Raw genomic sequence first — 15,989 nt, forward strand, 5'->3', positions numbered from 1 at the left:
CAGTATCTCCATCAAAGTCTCTTATACTTGCATTTCTCTCTAGTAGGGGTTTAAGGTCCATCAATTTAACTCTTAACTGCATCCAGTGCTAGAGTAAGGATTTAAAAAAAAAAACAAAACTTAATTGCGGAACTTATTAAAAATGCAATTCTAATATCCAGAATCTACAAGGAACTTAAACAAATTTACAAGAAAAAAACAACACCATCAAAAAGTAGGCGAAGGATATGAACAGACACTTCTCAAAAGAAGACATTTATGTGGCCAACAAACATGAAAAAAAGCTCATCGTCATTGGTCATTAGAGAAATACAAATCAAAACCACAATAAGATACCATCTCATGCCAGTTAGAATGACAATTATTAAAAAAGTCAGCAAACAACAGATGCTGGCGAGGCTGTGGAGAAATAGGAACGCTTTTACACTGCTGGTGGGAGGGTAAATTAGTTCAACCATTGTGGAAGACAGTGTGGTGATTCCTCAAGGATCTAGAACCAGAAATACCATTTGACCCAGCAATCCCATTACTGGGTATATACCCAAAGGACTATAAATCATTCTACTCTAAAGATACATGCACACACACGTATGTTTATTGCAGCACTATTTACAATAGCAAAGACTTGGAACCAACCCAAATACACATCAATGATAGACTGGATCACAAAAATGTGGCACATATACACCATGGAATACTATGCAGCCATAAAAAAGAATGAGTTCATGTCCTTTGCAGGGACATGGATGAAGCTGGAAGTCATCATTCTCAGCAAACTAACACAGGAACAGAAAACCAAACCATGTTCTCACTCATAAGTGGGAGTTAAACAATGAGAACACATGGACACAGAGGGGGTAACATCACACACTGCGGCCTGTCAGGGGGTGGGGGGCAAGGGGAGGGAGAGCATTAGGACAAATACCTAATACATACAGAGTTTAAAACATAGATGATGGGTTGATAAATCCAGCAAAACCACCATGGCACATGTATACCTATGTAACAAACCTGTATGTTCCGTACATGTATCCCAGAACTTAAAGTAAAATTTGAAAAAAAATTTAAAAATACAATTCTAAAACTTTATGCTACCCCAAATTATCAGCGCAGAGAAGTGTTTTTTATCAAGTATCACAGGTGATTCCTATGCAAACTCAAGCTTGAAAACTAGTATATTAACCCACTTTTCAAAACTCAGTTGAAGTCACCTACTACAGCAGTCCCCAACCTTTTTGGCCCCAGGGACTGGTTTCATGGAAGACGATTTTTTCACACATTGTGGAGGCAGTGTGGAGGAAGGATGGTTTCGGGATGAAATTGTTCCACCTCAGATCATCAGGCATTAGATTGTCATTTAAGGGTCACCTAACTCAGGTCCCTCACATGCACAGTTCACAACAGGGTTTGCGCTCCTATGAGAATATAATGCCACCACTGATCTGACAGGAGGTGGACCTCAGGCATTAATACTCACTTGCCCACCACTCACCTCCTGATGTGCAGCCCAGTTCCTAACAGGCCATGGACCAGTACAAGTCCACAGTCCCAGGGGTTGGGAACCTGTGACCTACTACATGACCCAACCTGCTCTCAGTTAGAAATAATTTCTTTCCACTGTACTCTTTGAGCCTATTATATGTGTTTCTCTTATAGCATTTACACACTCTTCCCAACACTCCCCTCCACTCCCCTCAAAAAGAAAACTTTTCATCAAATCCAATTGATTATGGCAAAGGTTTATAACCTCCCCATGGCCTACTCTCCCACACCTGCCCACAAACCATTGTTCAATTACAGCAGTAAGTTACTACAGGATGATACACAGATGCAAGCCGTGATATCTGCAATTCCAGGAGCTAGCTCTAATCTACCTATCTTCCACAAATTAGCTTGAATGGTAGAAAGATTTATATTTGATCAAAGTTGGTCTGTAATTTTCAAAAAGGAAAGTGCAATAGAGCAAATGGCTTTATTCCATTAGTAAATTTCCTATAGACTTGTCTTCACAACAACTTGAAAGCATAAAAATTAAGCGTGAGTTCAGTATTTTCAGTCTGGATCATAATCCTATTCTCCTTCATTCATAATACAAAAACCTTGTTATAGGCACAGGTATCTATTGAGTATCGGTATACATAATGTATGAGAGAATGAGAGCACAGAATTAGTTTATCATTGATTAAAACAAGAATTAAATCAAAACATTCCAAGAGTTGTGTTCCATTCTGGAGCAGTATTTAAGACAGTAGTGAAAGACTTGGCCAAATATACAAAGATTCCAAGTACTATCTATGTGACTTATGAAAAAAATGAAAAAGAGAATGATAAAAGAAATCAAACTTAAGCCAAAATGGCATGGAAACAAAACAGTGGAAATCAGACTAACTTTTATTTAATCTGAAACATGTAACTATCCTCAAAAATGTTGAGTAGTCATGGAATCATAAATTTAAGAAGGTGCTTTAATACCCATCAAGTCCCACTTCTCTTACCCAGGAGGAATTTGGAACTCTTATCAAAATTGAGTGACTTTTCCAAATCCATATAACTAACAATGGGCAGAATCTGGGTCCTCTGGGGTCAATACTAATGTTCTTTTCATAATATCATTAGGCCCCAGCAATGCAAAACAAGTTCTGATTTCAACAAGCTGAATCCTCAATAAATTCAGCCCATGTTCACTTCATTTAATGGTTAAACTCTTCCCTTTGAAAAATTCCAAGCATTAACCACACTTGCATATACAGACATTATCAATTTCATAGCTGGGAAAGATAAAACTCAGCCAAGATAATTAGCTCAGAAATATAAGCACTTCCAGAAGGAAAAGAGCCAACTAGTTAGTTCCAAAATGACATTCAGAAAAACAGCATAAGATTACATTAGTTCCAAACATTAACCATCTCTTTTGAACCGACAGGATAAGCAGGATTCTACTTCTAGTATTCCAAAACACTGAGAACAAGTTCATGTTCAGCTTTTCTGTGACTATGATGAACTTAAGTATTTTAATTATACTTTACCTTCAACTTTTCAGACCAAAAAGTCAAAAATTAATCTTAAATTTAAAAAATGAAAATATGAGTTTTAGTCCAGACTGCCAAACTACTGTTACTTTAGAAAAATCACTGTCAATTTCTAGACCCCAGATTCTTTCTTCTGTAAAAATGGGGATGGAAGAGTGATTACTAGGCTTTGGTTTCTCCCAGTTCTGTTTTCCCTATCCTTGTCTAATTTCACTGATACAAAAGAAAAACAACTTTCTTAATACAAACCATATTATTCACTGAGGCTTAAAAAAAAAAACTTTAAAGAGATAGGTTATCTGGTAAAGTGCACCAGGAACTACATTATTTTGAAGGTCTTTGTTCTACATTCAGCTAAGTTTCTAAAAGTCATTCAAAAGCCAATCACCACACACATTAACTGAATGTTGGCAATATTTGGCCCTGAAAATATAAGACAAACTGAAGCTAAATTCCAGGACAGAAGCCTCTGCAAGTGAGGGTTTGAAATCTTGTATACGGTGAAGAAACTGACAATAATGAACTTCACCAGAGCCCCGTGATCTTGAAAAACAGCAAAGGTTAAGAAACCCCTTGCCCCCGTTTGTGTTCTGAGAAATTGGCTTACTGCAAAGAATCATCTTTCCTGTAGAACTTAGATAAGACTAAGGGTTGATCCATACCCCCCTACCCCTTGTTTACCTATAACAAGGCCATAACTAGACCCTTCTAATTCCCATCCTTTGCTTCGTAAATGACTTGCTGAAGTACCTGTCCCACAGATCAATCGGAACAAAATACTTATTAACCAAACTTTAAGATTCTCTTCTCTCGGGTACCTGAATTTTGTCCTTCCCTCAGTCTGAAACAACATATACAAACCTCTCCTAACAGCTCCTCCTCAGAATACATGGGCTCAGGGTAAAACATTATCTGGTTACTGCCGGATCATACCCATATTTTCATCCCAATTCCTGACATCTTATTTACCCCTACCAACAAAAGACAAACCCTTTCTGCCTAACCTTTAAGGTGCATGCAAATCTTACGGTCATTCTCCCTACTGCAACAGTTCCTTCAACCTTCCTCCACACCCCTGCAATATTCCTTTCGAATAAAGTCTGTCCTTACTAAACTCGGGTTTTTTATTTGACACCCTTTTCAATTATGAAATGGCTAAGTGTAAAGAATAAGGGGACTACCGTTTCTTTAAATGACAGGTGTTGATCTTATACAAGGAGACCCGTTGTGTCCACCTGGAGAGGCTAAAAGCATTTCTAAGATCTGAAGTTCTTGGCCACTGTTCCGCGGATGGAGAAGGGGGCGCAGAAGAGGTGACTGACCCGGCAAGGTCAACTCTGGGATCACCTGGCGCCACAGGCCATACACAGTAAATGGGCCATGAACAGGCAGGCTACCCAGTCCATACTCCCTGACAGATACGCCCCTGCCTCCGGCCCGCTAGTCTCCCAGACAGGTAGGCGTAATGCTGCTTCCTCAGGGGCTCAGACACCCTGAGATAGGTGGTGGGTCCTACCCAGCAGCTCATCCCAACGTCTCAACTCCATTCTGAGCAGAGCACCTGATGGCTCTTTTCACAGTACTGACCTCCCCGCCCTTTTCGCCCCACCGTTGTCACTCCTGCCCTCACAGAAGAACTCACCATGGCGCCTAGGATAGGTCGTGGACCAGACACCCTGGAGTTGCCGGGGCAGTCCCAAACCTCTTACCTCCCGGTCCTTGAGCCGAGAGACTCTCAAACAGCGAAAGAGAGGGTCTTCCGGCTCTGCCGGAAGTTGTGCGCGCGCGGGACAGGAAGTTCCTCCCTTCTCCAGAGCGCCGTCGACCCCACGCCACGCAGAGGTGAAGATACGCAGGACGTCCTCTAAAGCAACTTCCGTGGGTGCCAGGTTGTGGGCTGGGGGCGGTGCTGACCTTGAGAGAGCGGAGGAGGCGCAGGCGCAGCACAGGTACGTGGGCGGGCGGATCGTGGTGGCTGCGCTTGCGAGGACCCTGAGGTAGATTGGGTGGTTTCAACAGGAACGCATCCACTGTCTGAGAGGTGACGGAGGCACACGTTGGTGTGGGGAGCGGGAGGGGAGAGGGAGGGGGGCGGGTGGGGGGCGGGAGGGGGCCAGGGGTGGGAGTGAGGGTGCGCGATGGGAGTCGACTCCAGACCCAGGTGATTTAGAGAGAGTAAAGACCACCTTTGGCCGTCATTTTGTCTCAGCTTAACTGACGCCCTCTTGTTACCCTCTAGTTTTCCTGACTCGGTCCCTTATTAGCATATCCTCATTTCCACAGACCTGTCCGTCTGTTGCTTCTGTTCCCTGCCTTAGTGGGTACCGTAGCTCTACCCTCCTTCCGGGCAATGGAATCTCATAGTGAGAAGTTTCTTCACTATTCACAGGTGGCAATTGAAGCCGGAAGAACATCTACCAAGAGCAGAGAACCCAGGAAGAAAATTCTGCCTCTTTAATACGTTCCAATATGGACGTTTTCCATATAGATACCTATCTATATAGATAGATGCTCTGGGATCTGACGGTCCTGGACACCTGTATGGCTGTGTGCTGTGGTCTTTGCCTAGCCTGCGGTTCACTTTTGCTCTGGCCACCACCTCCCCTCATGTACAAACCGCGTCTCTGCTCTGCCAGTCTTGGCCCCCGTCAGGCAGCGGTTCACTCCCTCACCAGGGAAGTCTAGATAGATAGATATAGATAGATATCGATCGATAGATATAGATATATATATAGATAGATAGATAGGTAGATATATGGATAGATATAGATATTTGGATAGATATGTAGACGTCTATCTATAAATATATCGATATATCGGGGTTCTCAGCCATCCCAAAGAAGCTTGCACAGGGCCAGTTGCTTTATGTCAGGAAAAGGGACACAGACTGAGTGTATGAGGGTTTTTTTTTTCTATAGATGTATAGATATTTATATCAGATGCAAATAAGTGAAACTCTCATACAACTTTTAATTTTGTGTTTTTTCCAAACTCTATTCCATTCAACTTTTTCTGCCTTTTTATTTGATTATAATGAGACATCGTACTGGAGGCAGGCTTGAAATGGATATACAGAGCACTTTCAACCCAGAAATTTGTCTCACGACTTGGGGTCCTTACTTAAGTTGTAGCTGTTAGTAATTTCATCCATGAATTCACTTTGTGCCATAGTGTGATGTTTTGTTATGAAGTTGGAATTGGGAAGGGAAACTAGGAAGTTTTGGGAGAAGTTAAGAAGGTTGAGTAGGCAGGCGTTGTTATAGATATTAAATTTCACCCTGCTTATCAAAGTACCTGGAGCGTATGGTATCCAAGCTGTAAATGGCCCAAAGGAATCGGGGTTCTCAGCCATCCAAAAGAAGCATGCACAGGGCCAGTTATTTTATGTCAGGAAAGGGGACACAGACTGAGTGTATGAGGGTTTTTTTTTTTGTTTTTTTTTTTTAGTTTAAACTTGATTTTGTGAGGGGACGAACAGCGTGACAATTAAAAGAAGATCTGGGAATCGTAAGTACTGACAGAATACCTGGAGGGAAGGTGGGACTGGAGAATAGTTTGTGAAACAGATCCTGCTGAGGATGAATCCAGAACTTCCTGAAGGGTTCCGCTTCTGCTGTGTAGGGACAAGGTTGTAAATAGACAAGCCACAGGCACCTGCAAATGGTAAGTGTGGTAGAGAGGGGCTGGAATTGCCTGTTGGTGTATCTGTGGGAAGCAGCTGCTATCCTTGAGGAAGAAAAGATGGAGAAGGTAAGTGGCTATCAACCTGTCAGAGACAACACATTCTGTGAAGTTGTACTCTTTCATTTCTGACACTGTGGTTCTTAATATCTGTCCTAAACCTGGCAGTCATTGAGGTTCGCAAAGTATCTCCTTCTATGTGACAGTAAAACTGGAATTACTATCAGAATGGAATCCATTCCTGCTAGAGTAAAACCATGAAAAGAAATCGCAGTTTTGATTATCTGCTTATCATTTTTAATAGATCACAGAGTGCAGTGTTCCTTATTTGTTGTATGGCAAGTTGATGAATAACTCTTGATTAATATCTTTTAATGTTCTGTTTCACACAGTTCTCTCAATTACATGTGAAAAATCTGTTATATAAGTAATGCTATTTAATGATTAAAATGGATATATGTTTTAAGGTAGTGCCACCCAGTCTTTTTTTTTTGGTAGAATAATATTATTATCTATTGGTTGCCTGCCTTGAAGTACAGTAATTTCTCTGTTTCCATTATTTAAAATAGGTGAGTGTCTTTGACAAAGATACAAAGAAAGGGGACAGTTATGAAAGGGAAGAAAAGATAGATGGAGATGAAAAGAAATTCAGTAGTTTCAGCAAGGGAATTAGGAGCATAATCTTTGAGAAAAGTCTTGGTTGCTTACCATTCGGGCTTTGTGATGAGTTGAAATGTCCTGAATGAGAACTGTTCTCAAATGCTTTCAAGACCAACAAAAAGTACGATACCCACACTGACCTGGAACTCTTTAAACCATTAAGATATATCACTTTTTCGCAGTTCAGTCCATATTTTTTGCAAAATGTTCTGCTTAGTTTTTCTGCTAAGAAATTACTGTTTCTGAACAAGGTTAAGTGTCGTATGCTTTCATTGTAGTTTTTTTTCCCCTAACATATACTGTTTTCCTAATTAGACTATAAATTCCTCCACAGCTGGGACCTTGTTTTGTTTTCTCGCCTTCCCCATAACAAATATCATTTAAGTGAATGTTGTAAACAGTTACTTCATTTAAATTGCCCTTAAAATGCTTTATGACAAAGACGTTATTTGTAGTAATACCTATAATGGTAAAAAGTTTGTTGCAGTCTTACAGACGATAAGATTGATCAATTGTTATATATGCTTAGTGGAATTTTATCTAGCTGTTCTAAAGAGCCATTAGACTAGTCTTTCTAATGGAAAATGTTTATTGTCTAAGTTAAAACAGCATTTGAGGCCAGGCACAGTGGCTCACTCCTGTTATTGCAGCACTATGGGAGGCTGAGGTGGGAGGATCACTAGAGCACAAGAGTTGGAGACTAGCCTAGGCAATATAGTGAGACCTCTTCTCTACAAAAAATTTAAAAATTAGCTGAGTGTGATGGGGTGTGCCCGTAGTTCCAGCTACTCAGGAGACTGAGGTGGGAGGATCACTTGGGTCCAAGAGGTAGATGTTGCAGTAAACCAAGATCATGCCACTGCACTGCAGCCTGGGCAACAGAGCAAGATCCTGTCTCAAAAAATTAAAAAGCATTTTATAGACTGCATGTTTGTGTCCCCCCTCCCTCCGCACCAGAATTCATATATTGAAGCCTTAATCTCCAATGACATGATATTAGTAGGTGGGGCCTTTGGGGGGTGATTAAATAATAAGGGTGAAGCCCTGCATGGGATTAGTGCCTTTACAACAAGAGACCCTAGACAGCTTGCTTCCACTCTTTCTTTGCTCTTCACCATGTGAGGACACAGCAAGAAAACAGACAACTACAAATCAGGAAGAGGGCCTAATTTGTGCCAACCATGCTGGCACTCTTCTCTAACTTCCCAGCCTCCAGAACTGTGAGAAATAAATTTCTGTTGTTTAAGTCACCCAGTTTATGGTAGTTTGGTTATAGTTGCCCATATTAAGACAGCAGGATGCAAAATTGTGGCCAGTATGATTGCTTTGACATGAAACAAATTTTAAGCACAAATTGCAAAAAGTAACCAAAATATATCAATCCCCACTGCTGGCATTAACACTCTAAAACAAACTTTGTATATTGGGGGATTTTATTTATTTATTTATTTATTTTTTTTGCTGACCATAGTGACTCATGCCTATAATCCCAGCACTTTGGGAGGCCGAGTTGGGCAGATCACTTGAGGCCAGGAATTCAAGACCAGCCTGGCCAACATGGCAAAACCCCCTCTTTACAAAAATATAAAAATTAACCAGGCATGGTGGCACACCCCTGTAGCCCCACCTACTTGGGAGGCTGAGGTGGGAGGATCGCTTGGGCCTGTGAAGCAGAGGTTGCGGAGAGCTGTGATGGCACCACTGCACTCCAGCCTGTGTGACAGAGCGAGACTATCTCAAGAAAAAAAAAAAAGGATGAGGATTTTTTTTGTTTTCAACATGCTTTTTAACATCCACTATATTACTCTCATCTTTCTAGGCTGGAAAAAAAAATGTTTTAAATGTTATTCTGAAGTATATTGCAACCTTTAACAATTCAGTAGACTTCTGAATTTTTATTTTCATGTAGCTTACCACAGTTGTATCTAGGAATATATCACATAGCTGATTAATTGGTGAAATAACCCTTGCAATTTTACACAGGTTGTACAGTGCACATTTTCAAGGACCACTCACATACATCCATTTGATATTTTTTGGTATCAAGAAAGTCTTTAAACAATCAGTACCACCAATAGCAGTAAAAAGACAAAACTGTCTGAAAGTACCTATCTGTTTAAAACTTTAATTAGCTTTATCCATCCATTAAATAGTTATTGAATATAAAACTGTATCATTCACTCTTCTACACTCTGAGGAAATAGTGGTAAATAAAGCAGATATTGTCCCTACTATCAGGAAATTTACATTTTAGTAGTAATAAGCCATAAATTAACAAAAACAGAAGACAGTGGTAAGTACTAGGCATGAAATTCAAACATGACTATTTTAGATTAGGTGATTAAAGAAACTAAAATACCATTTAAGCTGCTGTGTAAATGACAAGAGAATCCAGCTTTGTAAAAATTGGTGAACCCTTTGCTTGCAGAAGGGACAACTGCAAAATCTAAGGCATGATCTAGCCTGGAATATTTCAGGAGCCAAAAGAAGGCCTGCATGGTTAGAGAATAGTGACTTAAGACGCAAATACTGTAACTTTGGAGGGATAGGAAAGGGCTAGATCATGTTACCTTTGAAAGACAGGAAAGAGTTTAGATTTTATTCTATGTGCAATGGAAAAAAAAATGAGAGCATTTTAATCCAAAGAGTAATATAAGATAATATATTTTTAAAATCCACTTTGGTAATTTGTTAATTGGCATAAAGAGTCAGCTTTCATGTAACATAATTACTAACATACTTGGATTTAAATTTGTCATTATTCTTATTTTATTTGTCCCACCTCTTATATGTTCATTTTGTCTTCTTTTGCCTTTTTGATTTTTTTTTTTCTTAATTAGGCCATAGCACCTGATATTCCCAGGCAGACTCTCATCCAAGTGCCAATCAGCCCCAGCCCTGCTTAGCTTCCCAGATCAGATGAGAACAGGCATATTCAGGGTGGTATGGCTATAGACCTTTTAGATTATTTTTAATTATTCCATTTTTTCTACCTCATAAGCTTGACAGATGTCTTTTAGTATCTTTTTACTGTTCACCTCAGGTATTAAAACATGGAACCTTGGTTTATCATCTTTAAGATAATTTGGTATTATACTTCTTCCAGGACAATGTAAGGACCTGCGAACACATCAACTTCATTTACTGCCACACCTCATGTTATATACATTGTATATTCTTAATATGTATTTCCTAAATTCTCAAGACATTTTTTATACAATATGAATTTACATTTCATATTGTATAAAACATTTACTTTTTCTATTGTGTTTCGTGGTTCCTGGAATCTGAGCTTCCATCTAAGACCTTATTTCTTCTTGAAGGACATACTTTAATATTTCTTCGAATATCTACTGGTAACAATTCATTCAGATTTTCTGTCCTGACACTGTCTTATTTTACTTTCATTTTCTAAGAACGTTTTTGCTGAATTAGCAGCTATTTTATCATTTTGAAGATATATTTTATTCCTTCTGGCTTCCATTATGTCCTCTAAGACATAATGTCCATTTTGTTTTTTTCTCTTCAAAGGTAATCTTTTTTTGGATGGCTACTTTTAAGAGGTTTGTCTTAAGTTTGGTGTGCCCACATGTGTTTTGTGTTTGTTTTTTTGTGTGTGTGGTTTTTTTCTGCTTCGAGATTGATAATGTTTCTTGAATCTGGCTGTGATGTCCTTAGGCTGTTTGAGAAAATTCTTAGCTCTGTTTGATCAGACATTGCTTCTGCTTTCACTCTCCTTTCTCCTCTTCTTTTGATACTCCACTTACATTTGTATTTGACAATTCACTTTGTCCCTTGTATTTTCCATTTATTTTCTTGTCTGTTTCATCCTGAATATTTCTTCTTAACTTTCAGTTCACTATTTTCTCTTAGTAGTCTCGAATTTGTTAAATCTCTCTTGAAGCATTTATTTTAGTTATATTTTTGGTTATCAGTTCAAACATTTCTACTTGATTCTGTTTTATTGTTTCCAGTTGTTTATCCAATATCTCAATCTTTTATTTCCTCAAACATACTAATCATAATTACTTTAAAACCTGTATCTAATAACTATGGTGTCTGCTATTATCTGACACTTTTCTTGTTTCTTGCTGTTATCACATTGTCTTGCTTTTATGTCCCTTATTTTTATGTTATTTTGTATTATTTATTTTATAAACATTATAAATATATAAAACTTGGCTTAGGTTATGTTTTAATTGAATGTCAGAATTGTTTTGATTGAACTGTATATGAGGAAACTATACTTTGAAGTCCAATATGATGGTATTTTCTAAAGAAAGAATTTATGTCTCCTGGCAAGACCTTTGGACACTAGTAATCTAAGATCTTCTTAATCTGGTTAGTGATAGAGACAATTAGAATATAGGCAGGTCTATTTCCTGTTCATACTTTCACAATGTAGACCTCTGAAGTCCCAACTCAAGCATGCAGAGTTTACCAGATCAGGCCCTAAACTTCAGTTTTTGTCTTTTTAATTCTATGGGTTAGAAACTCTGTTCAACTTTTCAGCCATCACCTCAGGAATCAGAAGATACTCCAGAGGAAAAGCTAATGTAAATGCTGGATTCAACAACTCTGTTTTTTCCTTCTGAATATTTCATTGTCTCTAATGCTGTCAGATGTTTGTTTTATATTTTGTCCAAGCTGAGTGTGGTGGCTCACGTCTGTAATTTCAGCACCTTGGGAGGCCAAGGCGGGACCATCCCTTGAGGCCAGGAATTTGAGACTAGCCTAGGCAACATAACAAGACCTTTGTCTCTTGGAAAAAAATAAATAAATAAATATTATTAGAAGTGAAAATGGGGATGTTGTTACAAATGCTGTGGAGATTGATGAGAAATTATGAACAACTTAATAATAAATGGGAAAATATAAATGAAGTAGGCAGTTCCAGAAAATGTAACTTTTCAAAAGCCATGTAATGGAAAATATAAATGGTGGGATGTTGATGTAAGAAATCATGATGCCCAGAGACTTTTGCCAAACCTTCAAAGGACAGATCATTACAATTTTACACAAACCATTCCACAGTATATTCCACTTATATACTGTGGAATTGGCCCTTACTGCCCTTATCAAATTTAACATCAAGGTTACAGAAGCTTAATATTACTGCCCTGATTTTATTAGGGCAGTAATGATTTGATAAGGGCAGTAAGAATTACAGCCCTGTCATATTCGCAAAGACAAAAATCCTAAATAAAACAGACCTTAGAAAATGTGTTTTTAAGAAAAGATAATAAAACATGATCAGGTTGAATTTAACCCAGGAATGTATTTTAGTATATTAAGAGATTAGAAAAACTATCTGGCTATCTGAACAGATGCAGGAAAAGAAAACTATTTGAAAAAATTAACAGACATAGATAAACCTTTGGGCAAATTAGAATTGTGTAGAACTTCCTTGAGCCAATAAAACCTACAACAACAATATTTTAAGATGAAGTATTTGAAGCAGTCCATTAGAATCAGGAACAAGTACTATGTTGGAGATCCTAGCCAGCATTATAAGGCAAGAAAAACAAAAGATTAAAAATTGTAAATAAACATAACTTAGTCTACAGATAAATTATTGAAGAGCTTTGCAAGGATTCTGAATATACTATTGATATGGTTTGGATCTGTGTCCCTACCCAAATCTCATGTTGAATTGTAATCCCCAATGTTGGAGGTGAGGCCTGGTGGGAGATTGGATCACGGGAATGGGTTTCTCATTCGTGGTTTAGTACCATCCTCTTGGTACTGTCCTTGAAATAGTTCTTAGGAGATCTGGTAATTTAGAATTGTGTGGTACCTCTCCCCTCTCTCTTGCTCTTGCTCCCCCTTTGCCTTCCACCATGATTGGAAGCTTCCTGAAGCTGCCTCAGAAGCAGAAGCCACTATGCTTCCTGTACAGCTTGCAGAACCATGAGCCAATTAAACCCCTTTTCTTTATAAATTACTCAGTCTCCAGTATTTATAGCAATGTGAAAACAGATAATATGACTATCAATATACAAAAGTGAATTGCATTTCTTTCCAGCAGAAATGAACTGTTAGAAAATGATTTTTGTAACATACCATTTACTATATTCCTTTAAAAATATAAATTAGGTAACTTAACAAAAGGTATAGAAGACCTCTGTAGAAAATTACAAAACTTTATTGACAGGCATTTAAAAATGTCTAATTTTAAAATTGCCATGTTCAATGATTAAAAGACTCGAGTTAAGATGGCAGTTCTCCACTACACAATGAAGGTAATTGCAATACAAATCCCAAATGAGTTTTTCAAGGAGCTTGACAAACTGATTCTAAAGTCTGTATGACAAAAAGCAGAATTCAGGATACTCCAGAAGCAGATTTAAGATAGAATTGACTTGTAGATATTCGTAACAGCAAAAAAATAAAAACAACTCAAATATCCATCAAAAGATAAAATGTTTATCCATGAAAAGATACTCAAAAAGTGACACCTTTATATAATGGGATATATTTGGCTGCAAAAAGGAATGAACTGCTAATACCTGCTATAATGTGGATAAACCTTGAAAGCCTGCTGAAATAAAGAAGCCAGTCACAAAGGACCACTTATGATTCCATTTAAACAAAGTGTATAAAGTAGAAAATGTATTGAGACAATAGATTGTGGTTGTTTAGGGCTTACAAAGTTTGGGGTGATGGGGGCCCGAGGTAGTGACAGCTAAAGGGTGCAGTTTCTTTTTGAGGCAATAAAGTTCTAAAATGTATAGTTGCACGTTTCTGTAGATACACTAAAATCAATTCAGTTGTGCATTTAAATGAGTAAATTGGTATGTGAATTGTACCTCAATAAATCTGTTAAAACCATAGTAATTAGGATATTGTAATACTGGCTTAGAGATGGAAAAATTGATTTATAAGGAATCCTGATTGTAAGGAATCTTGACTTATGTCAGAGATGGCATTGCATACCAGCAGGGAAAGCTAGATCATTTCAATAGATGACGCTGCATATTCATATGGGGGAAAAATGAAATTGGTCCTCCCTACCTAACACCATACAGAAAAAGTAGTTTCAGATGACTTTAAGATGTAAGTGTGAAAGGAAAACATAGTAAACCTTCAAAAGAAAGATTGCAAAATATTTTTATGATCTTATGGTAGGGAAATGTAATATGTATAAAGGAAAACATGTATGTCCAATATGTTAAAGTTAAAAACCTCTGTTCAAGACTCCATAAACCCTCAGAATAGCGGTTAATTTCAGTCATGCCCAGGAAACATACAAGATGAGCCTGGAATACCTTGTGCAAGATAGCAAGGAAGCTATTAGAGACTACGAGGGTGTCATATCAAATGGACTCAGGAGACAACTGAAAAGCATCCTTCTGGCCATAGATGAGACCATTTGAGTGTCAATAAGGACAGTAAATGCAATTGATTGGAACATATCAAGTGTCTTTAAATCTGAGTACATAATGATTGTAAAACAAACAGCATTTAGTTGGTCAACAGTAGAAGATGCTGTTGCATCAATTCATTATTTTGAAAATCAGTTTTGTTTTGTTTTTAAAGTAATTAGGCATTTGTCCTGCCTTTTGTATGTGAACTGTAAGTAACCACATAGTAGATGAGGAGAGGGTTCTCTTTGTACATGTATTCTAGCTAATAAATGGAGGAATGATAGAAAATTGCCATTTTGAAATTCCTAATGAACAAATGGATTTATTTATTGCATTTCAACAGCTGCTAACATGACAGACAAGAAAACATATGTTTCTTAATGGAAAAACACCACTACTGATGTTAAAATCTTATCAAAAATTTGACCCTGATACTAATCAGGTCTTTAGATCCATCCAATTTGCAGAAAATATAAACACCATTAAAACTTTAAGCCAATGAAACCTACCACAACGTAATATTTTGGAATGGAAAATATAAATGAAAAATCCAATTTTGGAGAATATTGGGACAAATTAATTTCAACAAATATGTTGCAGGAGAAAAGGAGACGAGAAGGACAAGTGGAGAAAACCGTAGATTACAAGAGACTTAGTTCAATATGAAGCAACCTGTGAACTTGGATTAGTTATCTTACTGTATAACAAATCACCCTAGCTTAAATCTAAAAATATTTATACACTTTCTTAGGATCCACAGGTGGTTTAGCTAGATGTTCTGGCCCAAGGTCTCATGAATTTGCAGTCAAGATGTTGGCTGGGCTGTAGTCTGAAAGTTTGACTGGTGTTAGAGGATCCACTTCCTAGAGGGCTCATTCGTAGAGCTGCCTGTGTTTTCTCACAACATGGCAACTGGCTTTCTCTAGAACAGGTGATCCAAGAGAGAGACAGAAACCATGATCATTCAGAGTGATGTAACATTACTTCTACTATATAATGTTAGTCACACAGACATTTCCCTGACAATATGTGGGAGGAGATTACACAAGAGCATGAATACTGGGAAGCTAGCTGTCACAATTTGGCCCCAATGATTGATAGTTCTTGATTTGCAAAATATATTCATCCCCTCCAAAAGCTCTCCAAAGCTCTCATCCTATGACACCATTAGTTCAAGGTCTAGAAATCTAAATCAGTTCCAATTGTGGATGACACTCATAGGTGTACTTAAGTACAGCTCCTCAAGAAGAGT

General features: G+C 38.1%; 1 protein-coding gene, 1 long non-coding RNA gene and 1 pseudogene across 19 annotated transcripts in view, besides 2 other annotated features; 1 reads left to right on the forward strand and 2 right to left on the reverse strand.

Annotated features, from left to right (window-relative positions):
• TMEM161B (transmembrane protein 161B) overlaps positions 1–4,796 on the reverse strand; it is an 83,276-nt gene extending 78,480 nt beyond the window's left edge. For 12 of the 15 annotated variants that reach the window (NR_110266.2, NM_001349407.2, NM_001289007.2 and 9 more), the window contains exon 1: positions 4,672–4,796. Coding sequence is in view for 4 of the 15 variants with exons in the window: in NM_001349407.2 (NP_001336336.1) it covers positions 4,672–4,674 (3 nt within the window). In the remaining 11 variants the exon portion in view is untranslated. The remainder of the gene's footprint in view (positions 1–4,671) is intronic. The other 3 variants (XM_047416812.1, XM_024454378.2, XM_024454375.2) reach the window with 1 other exon arrangement.
• Positions 4,583–5,082: an enhancer, noted in NCBI's record as "H3K27ac hESC enhancer chr5:87564449-87564948 (GRCh37/hg19 assembly coordinates)". NCBI's record gives its function as "activates a minimal SCP1, AML or CMV promoter by ChIP-STARR-seq in naive H9 embryonic stem cells {active_cell/tissue: H9 hESC(naive)}" and the evidence as "EXISTENCE:reporter gene assay evidence [ECO:0000049][PMID:30033119]".
• Positions 4,773–4,962: an enhancer, noted in NCBI's record as "active region_22755". NCBI's record gives its function as "activates an Ori minimal core promoter by ATAC-STARR-seq in GM12878 lymphoblastoid cells {active_cell/tissue: GM12878}" and the evidence as "EXISTENCE:reporter gene assay evidence [ECO:0000049][PMID:35858748]".
• TMEM161B-DT (TMEM161B divergent transcript) overlaps positions 4,833–15,989 on the forward strand; it is a 167,793-nt gene continuing 156,636 nt past the window's right edge. For 2 of the 4 annotated variants that reach the window (NR_039993.1, NR_039995.1), the window contains exons 1-2: positions 4,833–4,978; positions 6,477–6,536. This is a non-coding gene — a long non-coding RNA (TMEM161B divergent transcript). Of the gene's footprint in view, positions 5,071–6,476; positions 6,537–15,989 lie in introns of all 4 variants that reach the window. The other 2 variants (NR_105019.1, NR_039994.2) reach the window with 1 other exon arrangement.
• On the reverse strand, positions 10,209–10,327 carry RNA5SP187 (RNA, 5S ribosomal pseudogene 187; annotated as a pseudogene).

Source organism: Homo sapiens, chromosome 5, assembly GCF_000001405.40.
Source record: "Homo sapiens chromosome 5, GRCh38.p14 Primary Assembly".
NCBI classification, from domain to species: domain Eukaryota; kingdom Metazoa; phylum Chordata; class Mammalia; order Primates; family Hominidae; genus Homo; species Homo sapiens.